The sequence below is a fragment of the Homo sapiens genome, chromosome 13 (genome assembly GCF_000001405.40).
Source record: "Homo sapiens chromosome 13, GRCh38.p14 Primary Assembly".
NCBI lineage: Eukaryota > Metazoa > Chordata > Mammalia > Primates > Hominidae > Homo > Homo sapiens.
The window spans coordinates 36,284,052-36,309,954 of record NC_000013.11 but is presented as its reverse complement, the minus strand read 5'-3'; the positions used below and the strand labels follow the sequence as shown (position 1 = coordinate 36,309,954).

Here is a 25,903-nt window from a genome sequence, read left to right as displayed (position 1 = left end):
ATACATTTGTTTGTTTGTTTTAAGATAGGAAGTAGGAATTGCTTTATTTTTACTTTTTTTATAATTTCAACTATTATTATAGATTAAAGGGTACATGTGCAGGCTTGTTACATAGAATTTGTTGTGTGATGCTGAGGTTTGGGGTACAAATGATCCCATCACTCAGGTAGTAAGCATAGTACCCAATAGATGGTCTTTTAGCTCACACTCCCCTCCTCCCTCCCCGGCCTAGTAATCCCCAGTGTCTATTGTTGTCATCTTTATGTCCATGAGTATCCAGTGTTTATTTCCCATTTATAAGTGAGAACATGTGGTTTTCTGTTCCTGCATTAATTCGCTTAGAATAATGGCCTCCAGCTGCATCCATGTTGCTGCAAAGGATATGATTTCATTTTTTTAGGGCTGTGTAGTATTCCATGGTGTATATATTAGCATGTTTTCTTTGTGCAGTCCACTGTTGATGGGTACCTAGGTTGATCCCATGTCTTTGCTGTTATGAATAGTGCAGTGAACATGTGAGTGAGTGCATGTGTCTTTTTGATAGAACAGTTTATTTTCTTTTGGGTATCAAATGGTAATTCCATTTTAAGTTTTTTGAGATATCTCCCAAAAGTGGCTGAACTAGTTTACATTCTGGGACATACATACCTTTGAATCAAATCAAAGCAATGTGGCATATCATTTTGGAGTGTCAGTTTTTTTTTTTTTTTTGAGACGGAGTTTCACTCTGTCACCCAGGCTGGAGTGCAGTGGCGCAATCTTGGCTCACTGCAACCTCCGCCTCCCAGGTTCACACCATTCTCCTGCCTCAGCCTCCCTAGTAGCTGGGACTACAGGTGTCCGCCACCATGACCGGCTAATTTTTTGTATGTTCAGTACAGACAGGGTTTCACTGTGTTAGCCAGGATGGTCTTGATCACCTGATTTCGTGATCTGCCCACCTCGGCCTCCCAAAGTTCTGGGATTACAGGCGTGAGCCACCACACCTGGCCAGAGTATCAGTTTTACCAAGAGTTGAGAGATAAAACATACAATAGATCTCAAATTCTTCTGATAGAAATATGAAACTCAAGTCTTCCAACTCACTTCTTGTCACCTGTGGCCTGAACTCTAATATTCATTCATTGTTTTATGACCCTGAGGTTACTTTGGATCAGTCATAATTAGAAAAATAGTTCTTTATTTGTAGCAAGAACAGGAGAAATTCAGAAATGCCTTTCAGGCCAAAAGTGAATTATTTTTAGATTATCATATTAGAAAATAGGAAGTGCTTTGTTGGGTTTTATGGCCTACTCTAATGAAAAAAAAAAAAAAAAACTTACCTAACTACAATTAGCTTATTAAAAGTTTGGGATTCACATAACTAGGAAATACTGGATTTTAATGTAGATTTTGTACTTCTGGTCCTTAATGAGAACTTAATATGATAAATAGCATATTTTTAACAGTGATTCTCAGCTCATTTATTTCTATTGTATTATTGCTATTCTTTTTATCCTTTCTTCCAAAGATTCATGGAATTTAAATAAAAACCAGGTAAGTGAGAATTTAGTTAAGTAGCTTTGTATTTCTAACTATGAGGATGATTCAGTCTTAGCAGTAATTTAGTTTCTGCTATTAGAAATTTAGAAGGATGGGAGAGGCAGTAGGGAATAAAAGATTTTATCTAAGTAATACTGTTTCTCACCTTTGGAGCTAATCTGGCCCAAAGTAGAAAATGTCTTTTAAGAGAAGAAACTAAAAGTATTGAACCAGTAATAACTTAGTGATAGAACTGAAGAAATGGAAAAGCTTGTTGTACCTTTGTTTAATTTTGTTCTTATTTGTTTACATACACTTAGGTTTATTTACACTCTTCTGTATTTAAGTTTACTATCAAAAAGTATTTGATAGAATGACCATTTGTGGAGTACTCAAATCGAACTGATGGTAGTATAATAAGGGAAATTTGTGTTCTTAATTGCCTGTGATAAGCGATTGCTCTCCAAAATAGTTATTTTAAATGTCCTTTAATTTTATGCTTGGGAGAAAACCAAATGTATTATATAAACTTCCTTATCTGATTTCAGGTGGATAAGCCAGTACAAAGGATTAAATAACTATACTCTTAAAATTTTTAGCTAAATGCATAAAAAATATTCATTAAGATTCAGTTTATTTTTGTCAGTTACATTAATACTTTTGTCTTATATTTGGGGATGTGAAGACATACAGGAATAATGAAAAACAATAAGTAACTTTAAACCTGCTACACTTAATTGCGGTATAGTACCTATTCAATAATTCATCATTCTACATATGAAGCTTAAGTTTCACCTTTAAGCTTCTTTTATTCCACTTTAAAGTGTTTAAAGAATAATAATATAGCTTTGATAGTTAGATCTATTTTTATTTTCCCCAGCAATATTTTCTTTGAATATATATTTGTGGAACATAAGCTTAATAATAGACTTTTTTTCCTGTAGAAAATTTACTGTTTTATGGTTTTTGGTACTATGCTATAGTTAAGTGTAGCTGATTTATTGGTTTGTTTAGTGAAATTTAATTAAAATTCCTCCTAAATTTGCACTGGATGAAGGGGTAACTTCAATGACAGGTGTCATATTACCCAAAACCAGTTTTGTATAACTGAACACATTGGAGAAATTTCAGAAAAATCTGGTTCAATTGTAGTTTTGAATCTCGTTGACTTATTTAGGCCTACTTCACATTCATTTTTTATTATTTTTCAATTGGTAGTGTTAGTATATAAAATCCGACTTAATGAGCTCTAATTAAAGTAAATTTGTTTAAAAATAAGAGATCAAAAATAAATTTAACTTCCTCCCAGACATATGCTTTCTAGGAGTTTATAGCAGTATAGTTTGAATCTGAAGAAAAGGACTAAACAGTTATTTATGAAGAAAAGAACATATGCCTATTAGGAAAACTAGTTCTAAGGCATATTGGAAAGCAGGAGTGATAGTTGAGGATATATTAAAAAATAAATACAACTGATGAAAAGCTGTTTTATAGTATATTTAAAAATACATGTTTAGTATTTTAGAATTTTAAAACTGCTTTCACACATATACATCGTTTTTTTGAGATAAAGAAGAGAAAGTTGATGATATGTAAAGAGGTAGAAACTTGACCAAGGTCATATGGCTAGTTACTGGCATAGTTGGCATTAGAATCTAGTTTTCTGAATATTCTGTTTTTTTTTCCCAAATTAATAGGAATTGTTACTGACATTGGAGATAGCATAGAAAAACAGACAAAATTAACAAGGTGCAAAACAAATTCATTTTTAGTACGTTATTAAAGACAATGTAGTTTTTAGAACTGTGTTACATACAGAAATATGAGTGCAGCTGGAGGTATCAAACTGTATCAGTGGAATAGGGAACATTCCAAATTCTCAGAAGTGGAAGTTTGTGAATATGGAGGATTTCCTATGCTTGAAAACATGACTGTGAGTTATGTTGTGAGTTATGTTGAGTTATGGTGTCACTTCATTGTAGCTCACATGGTTCTGGAAAAATAAGCCCTCAGGGAAACCGGCTCCACCAAGAGTTACGGTCACTGTTTTTCAGTGCTGAAACTGCTGATACCTTTCTTTTTGTATAGACACAGCCATTACCACCTGACAGTAGTATTTGTTACTGGGGCTTGGTTGACAATGAGAAGGCACCATCAGCAATGGTGCATCTCCTGCACTATCAGCAAATCCTGTGGAATGCTGAGGGGTTGCATAACAGGGACTGTCCGAAGCAGTTGTAGGAAGTTTTTCTGTCTGTTGACTGGTGAGAAGGCCCCCAATTAAGAGTAGTACAGACTTGGAAGGTTTGACAGACTAGGCTCTGCTGTGTGCTAGCTCTAATATAATTATTAACATTAGGCAAAGGACAGAATAGAATCATCCTTTAGGGGCACTATAAGATTATTTCACACTGGGGTTAAAAAAGCCAAGCACAAACAAGCCGGTGGGATCACAAACCACTGTTCTAGGCCAGGCTATTTAGTAATAGAGGACTTGTTAATTCAAAAGGCAGATCTAGTGTTATATAAGATGTCCAGATATAGGTCATAAAGCATCTAGGAAACTTCACTGTGTCCTGGAGAAAATGTAAACTTTTGCCTCTTTGTTTTGTTTGTTGTTTAAACAGTCCTCTATTTGGGGGAAATCTGTGGACAAGAAAAGCTTTAAAAGCCTGTTACCAAAATGGGGTAAAGAGTAAAACAAAACAGTAGGGAAATGTGTTTTGGTGTGCCTGTATAGGACCTCAAATTGTATTTTATCATAGAAATAGTATTAAATGCAGATATTATTATTATCAATAATAACTTCTTTTGTATATGCTTTATAATTTCCCAAGCACTTGCTATGCATTTGATGCTCAAAAAACTCTGAGGCAGATAGGGCAGGAATTACTGATTTCATTCATTCAGTGAATATTCATTGAATATCAGGTACTATTCTCAATGTTTAGGATATGTTAAAGGACAAAGGTAAGATTCTCCTCTCCAATAGGGTTTACATTCTAGTGAGAGAAGCAAGACATGAACAGTGATAATTAATAAGTTCTATAGTATGTAGAAAGTGGTAAGTAATGGGAGAAAAAAAGCAGTGTAAAGGGGAATCGATTGTCAAGAGGTGGAGGTGGGCATGTGGAAAAAGGCAATTTAAACAGGTTAGATAATGAGATTATAGTTGAGCCAACTTGAAGAAGGTGAGGCAGAGAGCTATGGGAAGTCCAAGCAGAGAGCAGCCAGTACAAAGGTCCTAAGGCCTTTGAGTGCTTGGTGGGCTCAAGGAACAGCAAGGAGGCCAGTGAGTGTGCAGTAGAGTGGGATGCAGGGGAGAATGCCATAGAATCTCTGTTTAAAGATTAACTCAAATTCCCATAATTAAAAGACATAGCCAAAGTCTGGTTAAGGTAGAACTTGAAACTACTTACGTGACTCTAGATTAGTTGCTTCTGTGAATATTTTCCCTCATATTTCTAGAAAGGGAGGATTAAAAAAAGAAATAATGACTGATTAATGACCTGTATTATAATTTACACTTTTATTTTTACTTGACAGTCTTTATTACATCATTCTCAGCTAGTCTGAGTTTATTTTCACACACTGTTTTTACTAAAGGAGAAAATACTGCTTTGTCACAGAGTGTGATTTCATTCTCTACTGTGTTTTAAGTTATTAATTAAATTGAAACCTAAGCTTTAATTTTGCTTTCAGGGGTAACACAGTAATCATTTGACTTATTTAATACTAATTCAGAAGACCTTATTTTATATTTATTGTTTCATTGTATGTCCTCTAATCTTTCTTTTAAAGATACGGATATAATGCAGGAGAAGCTACCCACCATGCGGTGGATTCTGCGGTCAATGTTGGCGTAACTGCCTACAATATTAACAACATTGGTATCAAAGCAATGGTGAAGAAAACTGCAACACAAACAGGACACACTCTCCTTGAGGACTATCAGATAGTTGATAATTCTCAGAGGGAAAATCAAGAAGGAGCAGCAAATGTCAACGTGAGAGGGGAGAAGGATGAGCAGACGAAGGAAGTAAAGGAGGCAAAGAAGAAAGATAAATGATGAAGTGCTGGGAATCACTTATACCAAAGCCTTATGAAATGGATGAAATTTTGTTAAATAGGCAAATGTGGAATTCCTCACAGATTAACCAGTATTTTTTAAATGTATTCATTCCTACAAATTAACTTTCATAAATTTTATGGCATGTCTTCTATTTAAAAGGAAAAGAATAAGTATTCTTGCATCTGGCCTTAGAAATGTGAAGTTATATTCTCAAGTTTATTTTTTTCCAAGTGTAGCTAAAATATTTTTGCAGGTAAAATAAAGCTGATAGTACATGTGTTGTTCAAACCTTGTTAAACCTAATATTGAACTATTTTTATATCTGCTGTCTTTCAGAAGGCAAATAGGAAACTATATATTTGCTTAAAAATTGGCATTTAGTAACCTTAATTCTTTTTATAGAAGGAATGACTTAAAGTATTGTCCCCTCTTTTTGCACTAATTGTGGATTTTTTTAGATGCTTCTCAAAATTTTCAGTGTGTAAGCTAAACAAAAACTAAAACTAAGAATTCTCAAAAAAACTTGTTCAAAACAGGGAAAGACTGATGAAAAGTAAAATGGACTACTTTTGTAACTTACCTGTTTGTTAGGAAATGGAATGGTCTCTTTGATTTAAAATAAATAAAAATAGATTATTACGTCTTTTGTATTGAGACTGTATTGTTATGAGCCTAGGAAATTTGGGAACATGATTGTATTGTATTAAAATTCGAAGTGATTATTATCAGCTTAATTGGATTAAAAAAGTACTTCAAGAAATTATTTTATCATATCTGCTTCTGTTTTTCCAAAAGGTTAAAACTTGTAAAAAAAATATATATAAACAATTGAGTTTACTAATGGTAAACATTTTTATTCTGGGATTCGGTCATTGGAATTTATATTAAAAGACAAGTTATTAAAAAGGAAAGGTTCTATTCATAATCAGGGTAAAGAATATGAAAACCTTAGACGTAATCCATGGTGGATAGGCATTATGGTTTCCACTTTGGCAGAAGGCAGACTATTCACAGCCCTATTTACTTACATAGGCTAAAAAACTATGTAACTAAATACCTAATGGTATTTAATTTTTGTTTATTGAATTTAAGAGATTGGTATTAGTTTTCATAGCTGTAGTCCATTCTAATAATTTCTGATCTTCTAGTGGCTACTTAATTAGACATTATTTGAAGCTGTCTGAAGAATGCACTTTATGAATTAAAAAACTGAATTGCCTGACCTCGTTATCACATGAGCTTATATTTTGGGAACACATAGAACTGATGGAGGCTTTTCCTAAGGCCAAGGATAATGTACTAGTTGTTAAAATGGAAATAAAAGTGAAGTGGTAAATAGCTTACAGACAGTCTATGCTTTGTTTAAGAAATGGAATGGCACTTCATATATTCTCATTTGTGGGAGCTAAAAATTACAATAATCAAACTTAAGGAGATAGAGAGTAGAATGATGGTTACCAGAGGCTGGGAGGCATTGAAGGGATGGGGAGGGAAGTGAGGTTGATTAATGGGTACGAAAATATAGTTAGAACGAATTTGTTGTAGTATTTGATAGCCCAACAGGGTGACTACAGTCAACAATAACTTTATACATTTAAAAATAAAAGAGTGTAATTGGGACGTTTGTAACACAAATGAATGCTTGAAGCAGTAGATACACCCTGATGTAATTATTATAAATCGCATACCTGTATCAAAATATCTCATGTATCCCATAAATATATACACCTACCATGTACCCATAAAAATTTAAAAAGAAATGGAATGGCAAATAATGGAACATAAACTTTAAACAGTTAGCTTTGACCAGAGGTCAGCAAATATCCTCCATGGGCTAAATCCAGATGTCCACCTGTTTTCATAAATAACGTTTTATTGGAGCATAGCTGTACCCATTTGTTTACATATTGGCTATGGCTGCTGTCTAGTTCAACGTGAGAGTTGAATAGTTGCATCAGAGAGTATATGGTCCACAAGCCTAACTTATTCACTCTCTGGCCCTTTGCAGAAAAAGTGTGCTGCCTTAGTCTATAGAAAATGGACTTTTCCCACCATTCACTGACTCATTAGGAGATAGGCATCTTCTAAAGATTTTTTTTATATTGTGTAATGATTGATATATAGATAAAATTATATATTACTTGTAAGGTATGATGAATAACAACACTTAAAAACTCATCACACCTAAAGACATGGAAAGCTGCCAATTACCTATATGTATGTTCTTCCTATTTTCTTACCTCTTTCCCCATGTCATTTTTTATTGTTCCTTGCCATTTTTTAATCACACATGTATGTTCTCCAAACATACTGTTTCATTTTTTGAAGCTTTCTACATATAGTGTCTGAATGTGAAGTCTTACTCAACTTGCTTTTTTGAGTTTATGTTTAAAATTCATTCTTGCGCTTATATGCATGGATGGTTTACTTGCTCTATAGTATTCTGTGTGAGTATACCACAATTTAAGTGTTCATTTTCCTATCAGTTGACATTTGTTTTTAGTTTTTGTTGGTAGAAACAGTACACTCAAAACATCCTTGACTGTCCCCTGGTACACATATGCAAGAGACTTTATGCGTAAGAGTGGAGTTGTTGGCTTGTCAAGTTTTGCAAAATAATGCCAGGTATTTTCCAAAATGATGATATTCTCTTGAGTATTACTTCCCTTTGCAATGTTTTTATTGTTAATGTAGCATATATAAAAAAGTATCTCATAATTTTAATTTGTGTTTTCTTGACCTCCTTTCCTGACCTTAGATCAGTAATTTTTCATGTTCATTTGCCATTCATTTGCCTGTGCTGTAAAATTTGCGTGTTGTCACTGCTGACAATTTTGCTTCTCATGTTTAGGTGTTTACTGAGAATTGTGTATATGTGTGCAAGAGGTAAGGTATCTAATTCCTCCCCTCCTCCCCCACCCCGTAGATAATCAGTTATTTAACCCCCATTTATTGAATAGTTCTTTTCTTCAGTAATTTCCCACAGGTCTTTCTCTATATATAGAGTATGAGTGTTTCTGGGCTCAGACGTTTGTTCCATCTGTCATTTCTTTTGTTCCTGTGCCAGTCCCACACTGTCATCATTGTAAATTAGTAAGCCCTACTGATTGTTAGGGCAAGAGGCTCAATTCCCTCAACCAAATTCTTTAGGAGTATTTTGGCTGATTAAACAAGTTCCATAAGGAGTTTAAAATCTTCCCACAAAGAAACATCAGCCCCAGATGGACTTACAGGTGAGTTCTAACATACCCTAAGAAAATAATGTTACCTTGGGTGCAGAGGTGCACACCTGTAATCCCAACACTTTGGGAGGCTGAGGTTGGGTGGATCTCTCGAGTCGAGGAGTTTGAGACCAGCCTGGGCAACATAACGAGACTAAAGATATTGTTGGACATTGTGAATTTTACCTTATTGGGTACTGGATGTTTTGTGTTCCTATAAATATTCTCGAGTTTTGTCTTGGGAGGGGATTAAGTTACTTAGAACCAGTTGGATACTTTTGGATCTTTCTTTTCAACTTGTTAGGGCTAGTGTTTTTTCCGACTCCTAAATCAAAATCCTTTGTGTACCTGATGCCCTGTGAATTCAGAGGTTTTCCATTCTGGTGGGTGGTAGCAGGTATTATTCCTACCTCTGTAAACTGTAAGGATTTCCCCTCTAATCCTTTGTGATGGTTCTTTCCCCAGCCTGAGTACTTGCCCCACCATGTGTGTGCATTCATCAGTATTCTGCTGCAGAGTGTACCTTGTGGCAGGCCAGGTCTCATTAACACAGGCCTCCATAACAACTGTTTCAGTACTGACTTGAGTGGCTAAGTTAAATACTAAAAGCTAAAAAAACCAAAGCCCTTATACAAAGGCTGGAATGTAATAAAAACCCACCAAGAACTAGGTCTCAAAGCATGACAAAAAAAAAAAAAAAAAAAAAGAAGGAATTCTTAGCTGGACCCATTTAGGATTAAACAAGTTTTTTGGGGTTCTGAAGGAATCCCCAAACCTCCCTGATTTAGCAGGAGACAGGGGTAATCACCCTAGCACCTGGACCCATTTAGATTAAGTTTACTGAGGCTCCAGAGGAAGGTCTTCAGGACTCAAGACCTTAGTTGTAGATTATAAAAAGTTAACCACTTAATGTCTATAGATGAATGCACACTTACACATAGACATATAGCTTAGAAGGTCTGGAAAACTGTAATTTTGAGTTGGTCTGGTTATAGTTTCCAGGGCTTCTGCCTGTAACTGGTTCCAGAAATAAAAACTCTCTTCCTCCCCAGTTCATCTACATGTTCTTACTGGGTCACAAGAAATAGCAACCCAACCCTCAGTTTGGTCTGGGAACACCCTGTGCAGCTCTCCCCTCCAATATCTGCCCTGCAAAGTCTAGCTGCCTTGTTCTCTCTAGACTCTTAGAGAAACTCCGTTTCCTCAACTTAGGGCAACCACCAGCCTCTGCCTGTTTTCTCCCTTTCTGCTTTGTACCCTGGCAGGCCCAGGCCAATTTGGGAGCTTGCCTCATTTGTGTCTCATCTCTTGGTGATCGTTTTCCCTTATTGCCTGATGTTCAATGTTCTTTTTTTGTTCCTCTTAGTTTTTTAGTTGTTTCAGGCAGGAGGGTAAATTCAGGTCCTTTATCTCTGCCAGAAACACAAATCTGTGGTTTCTGTAGTTGTTGACAAACCTGTTTTCTGCTTGCCTTTGCTCCTAATTTCCCACAGTGAGATCCTGCTAACAGATCTTTTTAAGAAATCCTCTGGGTCGGGTGCAGTGGCTCATGCCTATAATCCCAGCACTTTGGGAGGCAGAGGTGGGTGGATCACGAGGTCAGGAGTTCAAGACCAGCCTGAGCAATATGGTGAAACCCCATCTCTACTAAAAATACACAAAAAAATTAAGCCAGGCATGGTGGTGCGTGCCTGTAGTCCCAGCTACTTTGGGAGGCTGAGGCAGGAGAATTGCTTTAACACAGGAGTGGAGTTTGCAGTAAACTGAGATTGTGCCACTGCACTCCAGCCTGGGAGACAGATGAGACTCCGTCTCAAAAAAGAAATCCTCTGTATATTTGGATTTGTCAACAGATAATCTAGTCCTTTTCACTTCATTCTATTCTGTTTACTTGGTTGTGAGTTGCCCTTTCAGACTTAACAGCTAGACAAAATTTTGATAAGCATACCTCCTATATTAGGGTAATTCACAGAAACAGAACCAATAGGGAGTGTGTGTATAAAAGATTTATTATAAGGAATTTGCCCGTACAATTATGAAGGCTGAGAAGTCTCAGGATCTGCAGTTGACAAGCTGGAGATGCAAGCAAACTGATGTGCAGTCCCAGTCTGAGCCCAAGGCTGGAAAAGTGTTCCAGCTCAAGCTGTTTGGCTGTAGGAGCTCCCTCTTACTCCTGGGAGGTCAGCCTTTTTGTTCTATTCTGTCTTCGGTCGATTGGCTGAGGCCCACCCACATTGGGGAAGACAATGTACTATACTCAGTCTACCAATTGAAATGTTAATCTCATCCAGAAACTCAATTGGAAAACTATGTATTCACAACACTTCTGACACCAAATTGTGTTTTCCACACCAATTATCCCATTCTCACTAAAACCTTGGTCTCCACAACCCCTTTATTCTCTAAAGACATTCCTAAGTCTTTAGTCAGTAACTTTTCAACCAATTGCCAATCAGAAAATCTTTGAATCTAGCTGTGACCTGGAAGCCACCCCGTCCCCCACCCCTTCCAATTGCCCTGCCTTTCCCGATGGAACCAGTGTATATCTTAACATGCATTTGATTGATGTCCCATGTCTCCCTAAAATGTATAGAACTAAGCTGTACCCTGACCACCTTGGGCACGTGTTCTCAGAATCTCCTGAGGGCTGTCACCCGCCATTGGTCACTCATTTGGCTCAGAATAAATCTCTTCAAATATTTTACAGAGTTTGTCTCTTTTTGTCAAGGAAACACAGATGTATCAAGGGTAGGATGCAAACTTTGTGATTAAAAATATAATGAAATTTCAAGTTGCAGTGAGCAGCTCTGAGGTATGTTCATGAACAGCACACAGATGCAAAACAATAATCTGGAGGGTTAGCAGTCTTCCCGAGTTCAGGAGGTACCTTTTTAAGACCAGTTCCTCCCGCTCCGACACTGCCAAATCAGCGACTCTGGTGCTTGTTCAACTGAAGCAAAGAAGGGCGCAGCTAATCTTGGATCCAGCGTTTCCCTAACAAGGGCTAAGAGTGAAGCCGACTTTGCCGTCCGGGGCAATGTTTAGGAAAGCAACCAAAGCCAGCAGGAGGGAAGAAAAAGGAGAGGGATATTCTTGGCCCCCTGACACTCCGCTGTGTAGCCGGAGCACGTCTAACCCCAGCGTCTTGAGCAAGGAGTGTCCCTGGAGCTGTTATCCAGGGTCGCTCCACCGCACAGAGTAGGCTTCTCCAGTCTCCCCGGCTGCCCTCGCCCCACCCCCTGCCGCCTGCGGGCATCGCTTTATGACGTCACCACGTGCCTCTGCGGGCAGGCGCGGGAGGTGCGACCGGGGGGCGGTTGGGGTTCACCGCCTCGTGCCGTACTGGCTTCTGGGTGGCCCTTAATGTCTTGTGCTCTAAGGTGCTGAGGGGAAAGACGCGGGAGGTCTCTGGCCTGACACTATGAAGGAAGAGAGAAACTACAACTTCGACGGTGTGAGCACCAACCGCCTGAAACAGCAGTTGCTGGAAGAAGTCCGCAAGAAGTGAGTCGGCGGGCGGCGCGGTGTGGGGTCCCGTCCACACCCCCCGAGCCTTCACCTGCAGAGTCTCAGGGCTGAAGCCGCTGAGGGTGCTGTAAGACCGGCGCCGTGATTAACCCCTGGGCACTTCGGTCTGGGTTCCAAAAGTATTCCATGCGAAAGATTCACGTGCCTCTTTGAGTAAGCCTTTGGTATTGTTAAGTAGGCAGCTTTCCGGGTAGGATGTGCTGCCCTTAAGGATCCAATCATATGGCGTGTATTTTGCCCATATACTGTAATGCCAAAAGTTGTGTTTGGTTTTGATGTCTCCATAAATCCAGGTTTTCTGCTTAAAATTCCAAAGATTTTATTTAGTTATACGGGGTTTTTTTTTTCTTTCATCCCTTTAAGGGGAACTTCATAAAATGACATTTAGTAAAACTGTTACTCCTCCTTTATGCTTTTTAAAAACAGTATTCGTACTTCGTGTTAAATTTTTGAAACATTTAAAGTATTTTTTGGACATACTCCCAACTCCATCCACAAGTCCCGTGAGAATTGGACTCTCCTTTGTGCCTAGATAGGGTTCTGGGTTTTCCTCTATTGTAGCTCCAGTCACAGTATTTTAATTGCCTGTCTATTTCTTGTTTTGCTACCAAACTACACGCGTTCTGAGGACAGGTTCTGTGTATTCTGAGGAAGTAGAGAATAAGAGCAAGTACTTGAGGACAGTCCTGCAAAAACACAAACTCCATCTCTTGTCACTCAGTAACTATGCAATCTTAGACAAGTTAATTAACCTCTTTAATCCTCAGTTTTCTCAGCTCTAAGACTGGTATACAAATAGTCATCTCATACCTCCTGCTGTTGTTCCCAGGTTGGAATGAAATGCACTATAAAGAACTTAGCATTGGCTTGTGATACGCATCCAGTGGAACTTTGCTGCCGCTATTGCTATTTTTCTGTTCACTGTTCACTGAATTCTTCCGTATTTAATACAATGCCTTGAACATAATAGGCACTCAAAAATATTTATTGAATAAATGGCCCTGTCATATGATAATGTTCTATTTACTGATGCCCTAAATAGCTAACCTTTTAAATTAGTGTTTGTTTTTTTCTCTTTGTTTCAGTTTGTCAGCTGTTATGTATTGCCCTAGGTATGCCTTTCTGTAATAATGTGCAGTGCCTAATTTGCTTGGTTCTGAAAAACCAGGTAACTAACTTCTTTAGGATGATATTTAAGTTAAAAATAAAGGATTTCCAAGGGCCGGGCCTGGTGGCTCACGCCTGTAATCCCAGCACTTTGGGAGGCCGAGGCTGGGCGGATCACAAGGTTAGGAGTTCGAGACCAGCCTGGCCAATATGGTGAAACCCTGTCTCTTCTAAAAATACAAAAAAATTAGCAGGGCTTGGTGGCGCATGCCTGTAATCCCAGCTATTCAGGAGGCTGAGGCAGGAGAATTGCTTGAACCCGGGAGGCGGAGGTTGCAGTGAGCCGAGTTTGCACCACTGCACTCCAGCCTGGGCGACAGAGCGAGATTCTGTCTCAAAAAAATAAATAAAAATAAATAAAAGATTTCTAATGGTTGCCTGGGGGTCTTTGAGCTTTAGTGCATATTTGAGTCCTAGAACTGACTAATTGGAAGCCTTCCTTTGCCTGAGTCTTATTTCTTAACCAGTCCTTCAGTAAATAATGTGTCATAGTAAATTGTTCCTGAAGTAGTAGTGGGTTACTATGTATTATTTTTCTGATGTTATTTTTAATTGAATTATAATCAACAAAAATATTTTAAATAACAGGGATGCAGTGCAACTCTCAATATTTGAACTAAGACACAAGATTACGGAACTGGAAGCCAAACTCAATACTGACAATGAAGGTATATAAGTAAATACTTATATTTGTGACTCCTGTATAATTATTGTTCATTTTACCAGGATATCTATGGTGCATTAAATTCCATATATTGAATAATAGTACCAACATTTCAGTATTGCTTTTTGGCCACATTAATGATAGTTTATGATAGAGGCTTTAAAACTGATACTTCAGAATATCAAACCTATTACTATTTAATTATTTTTCTACCTTTCAAGTTCAAAATGTTCATTAATTAGCAAAAACTTTGTTACATGACATCAATATATTATTTCTTTATTAAATAAATATCACCAGTTTTCTATTCACCTCAAGTTACACTCTTTATATCTTAACTTCTAGGTTTGGGATATGTTTAAAATCCGTATCTAGGTTTTAGCTATTGTTGTTGGAAGAATGTGTGTTTGGTGTGGAGGATGCTGTGTACCTACACACTCATATATCCTTAAAATTTGTAATGTATGCAAGATATGACCCTGCCATATGTCAACACTTTAAATGGAAGACCTTTGTTTTCCCTGTTCTAAAGAGGTTCATTGACTATTGGGAGAAAGTATCAAATCAGATTATGGATATGAGAAGTCATATAAGTTCTATGTAAGGATAAATGAAAACTTAGGGAAGGGAAACCTAACAGAATTCGGGTGAGTTAATAAAGACAGGCTTTCCAGAACAGGCATTGTTTGAACTGAATGCTAAAGAACAGGAGGACTTTATTAGGATTATCAGGGTGGGCATTTATAAGGGAGGAGACCACCCCTCATATTGTCTTATGCCCAATTTCTGCCTCCAGAGAAAGAAGAAATAAAAACTAAAAGGCAGAAATGAAATCCACAGGCAGACAGCCCAGCACCACACCCTGGGCCTGGTAGTTAAAGATTGACCCCCAACCTAATCGGTTATGTTATCTATAGATTACAGACATTGTATGGAAAAGCACTGTGAAAATCCCTGTCCTGTTCTGTTCTGTTCTAATTACTGGTGCATGGAGCCCCCAGTCACGTACCCCCTGCTTGCTCAATCAATCTCAACCCTCTCATGCAGACCCCCTTAGAGTTCTAAACCCTTAAGAGGGACAGGAATTGCTTACTCGGGGAGCTCATTTTTTTGAGATGTGAGTCTTGCTGATGCTCCCGGCCGAATAAAGCCTTACCTTCTTTAACTTGGTGTCTGAGGGGTTTTGTCTGTGGCTCGTCCTGCTACATTTATACTCTTCCTCAATTGGGGAGCCATGAACAAAAAGGAATAGTGGCCATATGGGAAATAAAATGCCACTTTCTATAAGTACCCAGTGCTTTGTTAAAGCTTGGTTGCAGAATACTACTTTGTCCCAAGGCTGAAGTAGCTTCCTCTATCTCCATATCTATATCTTAGATATAACCTCAGTCTCTGGGGGCAGGCTCTCAGTGTACTTATCAAGTAGCTGCGTTGGCAGGGTAACTGGAACGTCCTCATGTACCCAGTTACAGGAAAAACAGAAGGCATGCTCACAGGTACACATGCAATAACTATGCCCAGTAGTAAAATGTGGCTCAACAAGTTGTAGCAGTTCTCAAAAGAAGGAGCTAGTATGTGGGTATAAAGAGAAAACGTCAGAATGATAGGAGAGAAAGTTCTTTCCTTAGTGGGCCAAAAGTAAGGCCTAAGGTGAAGGGCAGAAACATTTACTCCTTTAAAGCCAGGGACTGTGTCAGGTGAGGTAGTTATTATTATCCCCATATATGGAAGAATGAAATTCAGGAATTCAAATAACTTCTAAGGTAATATAGCCAGGTAGTGGCAGAGCCATGACTTGATCCTAGATCATCTATTTACCATGCCTTCAGTAAATGATAATACAACTTCCATCTACCACATCACACTCAAAACACTTCTGCTTGTCTTTTGCTGCATAGCAAATCACCCTATAATTTAGGAGCTTAAAACAACAAACTCTTATAATTCTGTGGATTAACTGGGTTGGTTCACCTGGATGGTTCTTGATTGGGGTCTCTGGTTGCAATCAGGTATACTGAAGATTCAAGTGAGCTGGTCATTCCGTGATGACTCATTCACATGGCTAACATCTGACACTGGCTTTTGACTGGAAGCTCAGCTAGGGCTGCCTGTCAGAAATGCCTCTTGTACCTTTTTCTTCTCACAGCATGGTGGTTAGGTTCCAAGAGGATGTATCCCAAGAGCAAGCATTCCAAAAGACATAAGTAGAGACTGCCAGGCCAGTCAAGGGCTACTCCCAGAACTGGCACAGGGGTATATCCACTGTATTCTGTTGGTCATAGTAGTCACAGATTCAAGGGACTGGAGAGGTAGACTGCTTTTAAGGTCACATTACAGAGCAACACATGGGATGGGATATATTATTGGCAGTCATCTTTGGAAAATACAGTCTGCCACAGGAGCATTAAACATAAAGCCATTTGGGGAATATGCTAAGTAATTGATAAAAATGGAACATAGGTCATAATGAGAATGCATTAGGAGATGAGGTTAAAGTTTATGAAGGAGATAAATCAAGAAGATTGCATGATGCTAATGAATTTACGTTTATCCTGAAGGCAGTGGGGCAATATTAAAGGTGTTTTAAAAGGAATTTATTACTGGAAATATGCGCACATGTGACAAATAGGGGTACATTCACTGTTCAGATAATTTTTTCACCCTTTCTGCTTTCTTCTCAAACCTCTACCACCTCTCCACTCAATCACACTCTCAGGTAATGAGCTTACCCTCTTCTTTCAAAGAAAAAAGAGAAGCAATCAGAAGAGGACTTCTACCTGTTTCTACCAACAGAGCTACCCATCTACCTGCACCCTTGCACATCCTCTTCCCTCTTGTTTCTATGAATGATCTGTCCTTATTCTTGTCTCAGGTTATCTCCTCCCTTTGTGGAGTAGATCCTACCTACTTGCACCTACTCAAGGATATCACTGTAGTGATGGCCCTCTCTTCCCTACACTGTCTGTTTTCCCTGCTCTACTGGATCATTCCCAACAGCAGACCAACATGCTGAATTTATTTTATCTAAACAACAAATGACAGGCTTCTTTTGGCCCCACTTTTCCCCTTCAGCTAGCATCCCCTGTCCCTGCCCCATTTACAGCAAAAGCCTTCAAAAGAGTAGTTTTTATTTCTACTTTCTCATCTGCTTATTGTTTGATCTTGCTTGTCACTGGATTAGTTTTTAGGCAGGTGGTAAACACAGCCAACTCCAAAGAGCTTTATATTCTCAAAGTCACCTCTTGAAGCCTTTTAGGATTCATAGGAAACTGTATGTAGAAAATTTGGTTTTATGTTTTAATTTGAATTTCACAACAAAGTTTAGTAATAAGAAAATGGTAAAGAAAATGTTCAGGTGACTTTTTTTTTAAGCAAGAAGAATTAGTATTTGTGTAGGGCTTTAAGTACGTTTTTTAAAAAAATTGAAACCTCACAACTACCCTTTGAAAATAATATCATTACCTCCGTTTTATAGATTGAAAAATGGAGGCCAGGTGCGGCAGTTCACACCTGTAATCCCAGCACTTTGGGAGGCCAAGGCAGGCAGATCACCTGAGGTCAGAAGTTCGAGACCAGCCTGGCCAACATGGTGAAACTGTGTCTGTACTAAAAATAACAAAAGAAAAATTAGTCAGGTGTGGTGGTGGGTGCCTGTAATCCCAGCTACTCTGGAGGCTGAGGCAGGAGAATCGATTGAACCGGGAGGTAGAGGTTGCAGTGAGCAAAGATTGCACCATTGCACTCCAGCCTGGATGACAAGAACGAGACTCCATCCAAAAAAAAAAAAAAAAAGAAGACTTATTGACAACACACAAGTTTACATCTTCATCCTGGATTTCTCCTTTGAGTCTTTTATAGGCTGGTTTCTATGCCCAAATACCTTTGGCTAGTAGGTAATATATTAATAAATCCAATATATTTTTTTAAATCACCTCAGTAAATGCTAAAATTTTAAAAATAAAATTCCATTTGTTTTTCAAAACAAGGAAAAGAATACTTCTATTTATCTCAAACTAGCATAATACTTAACAATGAAATAGTAGAGGCATTTCCATTCTTGGGGGAAAAAATACCAAAGCTGCCTGCTGCCATTATTAAAATGCAATATAGTTTTTGAAAGTTCTAATTAAGCAATAAAATATGAAATAGAAATGAGTTATAGCTATTAGAGAGGAAGTGATACAGTTATAAAGATTAGTATATTAATAAAGAATTAGAAAATAGTTGGATACAATCATGAAATAAATATTTATTTAAAAAAACAAATGCCAGCAATAACCAGTTAGAAAATAGGGTTTTTAAATGATCCCACCCACAATTCCAACCGAAACCATAAAAGATCTGACAATATTCCTGACCAGAAATATGAGGACCTGTATGAAGAGATAACAGAAGACTATAACTATAAAGGCATAACTGTTTAGTCCAAATTCTTACTTATTTAACATAAGAGATTTCATACAGGAAACTCTAGAATAAAATAAATTTGGGAAAGCTTTGCAGCATTAACACATGTTTGCTGAGCTTCTGAGAGACTTTGTTAGTAAGTGAAACATAACAGTGTGTATCTTATTGCTACAGAGTCTGTCTTGTCAGTCTTATGTGATCTCTATTTTAATGTTAATGCTGGTCATTTGTGCCTAAACTCCAAATTGGGGGAAGGTATAGTGTGGCATGTCCAACCCTCCACTTCTCATAATGGCCTGAACTAGTTTGTCAGGTTTCTTTGGGATTCCCTTTGGCCAAGAGGTGGATACATTCAGTCTGTTGAGGGGGCTTAGGATTTTTTTTTTTTTTAGTTTATATTCCCCCTTTTTTGGTCAAGGTATGCAGAGGTGGTATCCATAGCTAAGCTTTTATTAACTTAAGTTCTGGGATGGTGTGGCTACTTGCCCCTGGTCCATCGTGCCTCTCAGTGGGACCCCTATTGCCAAGGAACTTAGAGTCAAAGACTTAAATCCAATTAAACGTTTTAGGCCAGATGGGAGTGGAGGTGAGCAGGTATTCAGTAATCTTTAAAACCCCTTTTAGGCAACATAAGAGCCAAAAACCAAAACTCAAAAAATAAGATTATAAAGTTGAGTTATCTATAAATTCTCTGCATTGAGATACTGTAATCTTGACTTATAGCAATTAGCTGTACAAAACACAAGCATATTGTTCAGCTGTTTAGGCATCTGTGTGTCTGTCCTTGATTTGGAGGGTCTTAATTAATTTTATCCCTCAAAATCTGGCCCTTACAATGATACACTTCTGCGATAGCCCCTGGGCCTGGAGGGATTCAATAGTTTCAAATTCTGGAGGTAAAAAAAAATGTAAAGTATTAGCAGTGTTTCAAACAAAAAGGTAATAAGCCCTGCCTAGTTCTGACAGTTACAGGAAAGGAAACTTATAGGTAGCTAAACATTTAAATTATTTAGTGTCAATTTAGGCACTAAATTTAAACATTTAAATTATTTAGTATCTATTTATTTAGGCACAGAATAAATTATATTATTTTAGATAGAGGCAAAATTATTAAGAGAATCTTAATTTTTTTGTGGTACAGGCGTGTCCCTGTGTCTCATGAAAGTAGTTTACTATGATTGTCATCTTTGCCCAGATCTAAAAATGGGGCTTCGGTTAACTTAGATTTGCTGTCAGATACTGGCAGGAGTCACTGCCTTCTTTAGATGAGATATGTGTACCCAGGAGTCAAAGCCCTGTAACTTCATAGCACAAGGATTAGTTAATAACACCTGATAAGGACCTTTTTTTTAAGGGGCTGGAGGTGGTGACACTGGAGTCTATGACTTGACTGGAAGCTGTAAAAAGATTCTATAACCTTGCAGTGATTAACTTTTATAGCTTTGATAAACACCAGCAATAAGCCAGAGACTTAATTTTTGTTTCAATTTTGAAGATGTTTCTTAAAAATGTTAAAGGGCTCAAAACATTTGATTAAAACAGATCCACAGGTCATTGTAAACCAATAGTTACTAATTTAACCAAAATGATTATTGAAAGACTTAAAGGCAATACAGAAGGTTACATGCATATAACAACTTTCAGCCTTTTAGGTCTCAGTTTTTCTAAGCAGTTAAAAATCTAATGAAGACAACATATGAATTATTTTGATAAAAAGTAAAATGTTGTTTCTTACGCCAGTTACCAGAAAGGCAAAGAAAAACCTGCAGTGTGACTACTTTTCCTTATAGGAAGCCTATTTAGACAACCTGGAAGTTAAACCTGATGAAAAATATTCTTGAATTTAATCAGACATAGGAAGAATGTGTTCAGGGTTATGAGTATAGCAGAGGAATACATAGTTCTTAGTAACTGCATGAGAAGTTTCTTGATTACATTGAAAAATTTACATCTATCAAGAAAGCCAAGAGTACAGAATCAAATTATACTGAAGGAAAATATTGCTTTTCTAGACCTTTAAGATAAAACATTTTAGCATCAGGCCACAACAGTGGAACCAGAGGAAAAAAGTTACAGAAGCTAATTTAGAAGCTGAAGGAGAGAGCTGTCATCTCAGACCTTCTCAGGGGGAGAAAAAGCTGAAAGCAGTGAGACAGCAATAGTTGAACTTCTGAGATATGATTCTGAGAAGCTTTTAAAAGAAACAGTTTCTAAAATTTTAAAAATCTCTTGTAATTTTATTAAGAGAAAAGTAATACCTTAAGAAAACCTTGTTTTAAGATAGGGGATCAATCTTAGAAAGACTATTAAAAATAATTCCCTTCTAATTATAGCCAACTTAATATATAAAATAGCTTTTGTAATTTTCCTTTTATGAACCTTATCATAACTTACATAGACCATTTATTACATGCTTGGACTTTCTGACTTGTCCTAAAATTTTCTGTTTTCTGAATAACTAGCCATTTTATTTTAGGATAAGAATTTACTATATAAAATCTTTCTCATGTAAAATTATTTGCTTGTTTTATAACTTTTTTATTATAAATACATTTTTGTATCCACAACTTTCTTTATATCTCTCTCCCCTACTCACTGATTCTTTTTTACCTTCTTTTAGAAATAACTTTTAAATAACCTTTGAATTACTTAAATTACTCTTTTTTAAAAAATGAGAACACAACTTGCAGAATTATATATTAGAATTCTTAGTAACCTTAAATTTTAGTGAAAACTTAGGAAGCAAGAAATCCTGAACTGTTTATCAGATGTTAGGATTTTCTGGATGAAACCATTCTACAATTTTAGAAATATGTTTTCCCATATCATAATCTTTTCTTAATTGGAAATGTCCCAGAAATCAAATTATTATCTATTGGATTGGAGCATCTATTATTTAATTCAAAATAATTTTAAGATTTTAACTTACACAAAAAGTCCACTTACAAGCATTTATCTCATTTACATGTATTCACCTTTTCCATTTCTTAATAGTTTATCTAGATTACTTCTGAAAACTGAGATATTACACAAAACTAATCATTATTTAAAGTTATTTCCGGGTCGGGCACGGTGGCTCACGCCTGTAATCCCAGCACTTTGGGAGGCTGCGGCGGGCGGATAATGAGGTCAGAAGATCGAGACCATCCTGGTGGCTAACATGGTGAAACCCTGTCTCTACTAAAAAAATACAGAAAAATTAGCCAGGCATGGTGATGGGCGCCTGTAGTCCCAGCTACTCGGGAGGCTGAGGCAGAAGAATGGCGTGAATCAGGGAGGTGGAGCTTGCAGTGAGCCAAGATTGCGCCACTGCACTCTAGCCTGGGTGACAGAGCGAGACTCCATCTCAAAAAAAAAAATTAAAAATAAATAATAAAGTTATTTCCCTATTAACCATTTTTAAAATCTGAACACTAAATGGTGAGCACCTAATTAAGAACCTTAAAATTAAATGTATTTGCTGATGACTCTGAAGATTTAGCTGTTTCATTGAACTAACAAGTTAGTCTTATTTGTCAAAAAAAAATACACAAAGATTATTCTGTTTTTGGTTGAGTTTAAAGTCTTAGAACCTTTATGTCAACCCTTGACACCTTTGTATACACACTGATACAAATATAAAACCACTTAGACAAAAATGTATGGGGACAATTCTGAAGACCTTTCTATTTTTATCAATAATTTTAAAACCACTTTTATTTATTAAAAATTCACATGCACTTGAAAAGCATTTGGACTTAATTTTTGAGTACTCATTTACTTATAAGCCAGTTTGATAACATGCTAGACACAACGCAGAACATAATACATGAATATTACATAAATATATCTAAACATGTATACATACATGCACAAAGAAATAACCAATAGCTTTTACCTTGGAACTCCAGCCATGAGACAGCATTACAAACTCACAGACCTACAAAAGATAGCTGGCTTCAAGTTCTTTTTCTGACAAAATTGGAACCTGTTCATATGGCCAAACTTCATTTGCCCTAATAGGTAATCCAAGGAAATTTGTGAACCAAAATTTTGGGTAAAGGAGTCTCTATGGCAGTTTTTTTAAACCGCTTTTACCCTTGTTATTTTTTATTTTCAGTTTCAAACAACTTTCCAGTGTTTACATTCTAGTTAGATCATAAATGAGTCCTAGCACCAGCAGCTTAGTAACAGCAGATTTAAAGCAGGCAGAAAAGAGGGGAAGAGGGAAGATAGCTTTAGAAGACTCTACTTAACTCTATAGCTTCAGGTTAACTATTTGAGCTCTAAATTTTTCTTGCTGTAATTTGCCCGTCAGTTTAAAATGTACACAAAAATGCACCATATGTAATCAGCTGCAGTCCCAAAGAGGATGACAAAATCAGGGGCCAGGATGTTGAAAATTGTTTTTTCTCTTCAGTACTGGTTTCCTGGTTTGAACAGGAAAAGAGAAAAAGAAAGGAGTGGAGAGGAGAAAGGAGGTCAGGTTTTATGGGCAGGAAGAGGAAAGAGAAAAGAAGGAAGGGAGGTTTATGAGCCTTCCAGCCACTGCACAGTACCCCTACCTCTCTTGTTTATCTCCTCTTAGGGAGAGCCTCAGCACCCTAGAACTGAAGGGTGTGGGATGAATCCCTCCCATTTCCTCAAGTCACCAGTCAAGGTAAACTGTTTCCAGCCAGAGGGAGCGAAGGGTGGTTTTGGCTGAGAAGAGTAGGGCTGTAGATGGCTTCTGAGATAATCAGGATGATGAAGTTGGAAAAAAGGGGAAAGAGAGAGAGAAAGAGAGACAAAGAGATCAGGGTGCACAAAGATCTCACACACGGACAAACAGGTGGTGTGCATCCAAACAAATCCCTGGTTAAGGGGCTGTGTAGACTCCGAAATCCCTCATTTCAGTTTCAAATGGCTCCCCCAGGCAACTGAGTCAGAACTGAGCAAAGGCCCAAGGGTGCAGCAAATACAAACAAAACCAATGCATAAAATGCTCATATAGTTTCACTGGCAGCCAAGTCTAAATAAAGCAGAGCCCCAGCGACACCCCAAAAGAGGCAGAAGGTGGTTGGGTACACTCTGACTAATGCACCTAGTTCCATAGTTTCTCAGCTTCTCCAGAGGTCACTTTCTTTGCACCAGTGAAGCATTGAAGGTAGCAGACACCATAGCAGGAAGAAAAGAGAGGATCCCTAAGACAAAAGAGTCTTGGCAGCTGCTGGGAAATTCCCTAATATCCTAGCCATGGGTCAGCTAGCCATCAGCAACTAGTATTCACAGGTGGCCCTATGCCCCATCTGATAGAAACCAGACTGGCAGGCTCAGGCCCTGGAGCATACAGCACTCACCATACGGGACACTAAAATTGTAACCAGCAATTGTAAGTGCTGATTGCATAGTTCAATTAACAAAAGCGAGGTCCAGTAGAGAGAAAGTGACTTCATTGACCAAAACTAATAATGGACAAGTGGCCAGATTCCCATCCAAAATAACCATGTCCAATTTCTAGGGAAAAGGCAGGGGGCTTTCAAAGGGAAACTTAATATGGGAGGCATGCAGGAGTTGTGCTGGTTACAAGGTCTGTGTGTCTTGTTTTGGTGTCTATCTTGGGTCTTTTGTGTTGTCCCATGTTGATGTTGGGGTTAATAAAGCCACTTTATGCCAGACCTTGCTCTTATTAATTGGACTCTGTAAGTGGCAAGCAGCCGGATTCCATTTGGTTACGACTGTATACTAATAGGTCGGTCTATCTATCTATGTATCTATGTATCTATGTATCTATGTATCTATCTATCTATCTATCTATCTATCTATCTATCTTATTTTATTTTTTTGAGAAAAATTTTTATTTTTTTGAGATGCAGACTAGCTATGTCACCCAGGTTAGAGTGCAGTGGCACAATCTCAGCTCACTGCAACCTCTGCCTCCCGGGTTCAAGCAATTCTTCTGCCTCAGCCTCCTGAGTAGCTGGGATTACAGGCACCTGCCACCATGCCTGGCTAATTTTTGTATTCTTTAGTAGAGACGGGGTTTCACCACATTGGCCAGGCTAGTCTTGAACTCCTGACCTCAAGTGATCCACCAGCCTCAGCCTCCCAAAATGGTGGGATTACAGGTGTGAGCCACCGTGCCTGGCTGGCTTGTCTATATTTGATAATTAAATTTGATGATTGACTTAAAAGTCAATAATATTTTTAAATAAAATGGTGTCAAAATTTATAAACTGTACTCAGATGTGCCAAAAATAAATTGCATTTTTAATTTTTTGGTAACCATTCTCATCTTGCTCTGAAGAATCCGTTACCATGTTAGGAAAGGGGATACCATGACAAAGGGAGACTTTAGGTAGCAAGTTATAAAGATGATTCCATACAGTTGAGCTCTACTGTATCTTTTGGGTAAATGTTTAGTCTTTCAGGGCTTCTCCTTTCTTCTTGTACCTTTCCAAAGCTTTTGGGTTAATGACTTTCAGTTTCAGTATGGGAGGGGGTTCCATCCCCTTTGGTAGACCGCATTTGCATAGAGATGAGGGTGTAAGGGAGACCTGTGTCAGGGCTGAGGAGGTTGGTAGTGGTATGTGCTAATACTCTTTCTCCTTAACTCTTCCACTAACTGTTATGTAGCAGCAGTTATTTCAGACCTGTGAAGAGCATTTAAAGTTGAAAAAGAAGCCATCTTTTTGCCCTCTACAAAGCCTGACTTTAAAGACTCGAAAAAGTTAGCTTTGGGCTTTGAATCTGAACAAAGACCTTTTAATTTTAGGCTGTATTCTTCTTTTTCCCCAGACATAAGGAAAATGCTTTGACTTTAATAGCTAAAAGGGTTTAGTGAAAGAAAACTGCTTAAGGTTAAGAGAAAATGCCTGAGAAGATAGCTAAATGTACATTGTTCCTTCAGCTTAGGAGTTAAGAGGATATGATTTCAAAGGCAGATAAAACTGGATTAAAAACCCGGTTCCCTTATTTATTAGCTCTGTCATCTTAAGAATGTTATTTGACATTGACATCTTTGAGCCTTGGTTTCCTCATCTTTGTAAAATAGGTGACTACATTTCTAAAATGAGGATTAAATTACTTAATGTATGTGAAGCATTGTGTGCTTTACACACGGCAGACACGTAAGTGATAGTTATTCAGCAGACTTCAGAATTGCTTTCAAAGGAAAAAAAATGAACATGACATTGGATAGGTTAGTAATGTTTAGGATATTTTATATACACATAAACATATATAAAATGTATAAATATATAAATATGTATTTCAAGTTTCCTTGGAACTTGAAATATATATATTTATGGATATGTATATGAAATATCATATATGAAATATATGGATATTATATATATGGGTATT

General features: G+C 37.5%; 3 protein-coding genes across 23 annotated transcripts in view, besides 2 other annotated features; all 3 read left to right on the top strand.

The window, feature by feature from the left end:
- SPART (spartin) overlaps positions 1-8,317 on the top strand; it is a 68,543-nt gene extending 60,226 nt beyond the window's left edge. For all 15 annotated transcript variants that reach the window (NM_001142294.2, NM_001142295.2, XM_005266314.4 and 12 more), the window contains one exon: positions 5,323-8,317. In NM_001142294.2, coding sequence (NP_001135766.1) covers positions 5,323-5,590 — 268 coding nt within the window. In that variant the 3' untranslated portion in view covers positions 5,591-8,317. The remainder of the gene's footprint in view (positions 1-5,322) is intronic.
- Positions 10,590-11,552: an enhancer, noted in NCBI's record as "OCT4-NANOG-H3K27ac hESC enhancer chr13:36872540-36873502 (GRCh37/hg19 assembly coordinates)". NCBI's record gives its function as "activates a minimal SCP1, AML or CMV promoter by ChIP-STARR-seq in naive H9 embryonic stem cells {active_cell/tissue: H9 hESC(naive)}" and the evidence as "EXISTENCE:reporter gene assay evidence [ECO:0000049][PMID:30033119]".
- Positions 11,553-12,514: an enhancer, noted in NCBI's record as "H3K27ac hESC enhancer chr13:36871578-36872539 (GRCh37/hg19 assembly coordinates)". NCBI's record gives its function as "activates a minimal SCP1, AML or CMV promoter by ChIP-STARR-seq in naive H9 embryonic stem cells {active_cell/tissue: H9 hESC(naive)}" and the evidence as "EXISTENCE:reporter gene assay evidence [ECO:0000049][PMID:30033119]".
- The window catches only part of CCDC169-SOHLH2 (CCDC169-SOHLH2 readthrough), a 129,598-nt gene continuing 115,835 nt past the window's right edge, over positions 12,141-25,903 (top strand). The window contains exon 1 of the mRNA NM_001198910.2: positions 12,141-12,318. The gene's annotated coding sequence lies outside the window, so the exon portion shown is untranslated. The remainder of the gene's footprint in view (positions 12,319-25,903) is intronic.
- CCDC169 (coiled-coil domain containing 169) overlaps positions 12,141-25,903 on the top strand; it is a 75,811-nt gene continuing 62,048 nt past the window's right edge. For 5 of the 7 annotated variants that reach the window (NM_001144984.3, NM_001144983.3, NM_001144982.3 and 2 more), the window contains exon 1: positions 12,141-12,318. Coding sequence is in view for 2 of the 7 variants with exons in the window: in NM_001198908.2 (NP_001185837.1) it covers positions 12,236-12,318; positions 14,098-14,177 (163 nt within the window). In the remaining 5 variants the exon portion in view is untranslated. Of the gene's footprint in view, positions 12,319-14,097; positions 14,178-25,903 lie in introns of all 7 variants that reach the window. The other 2 variants (NM_001198908.2, NM_001144981.3) reach the window with 1 other exon arrangement.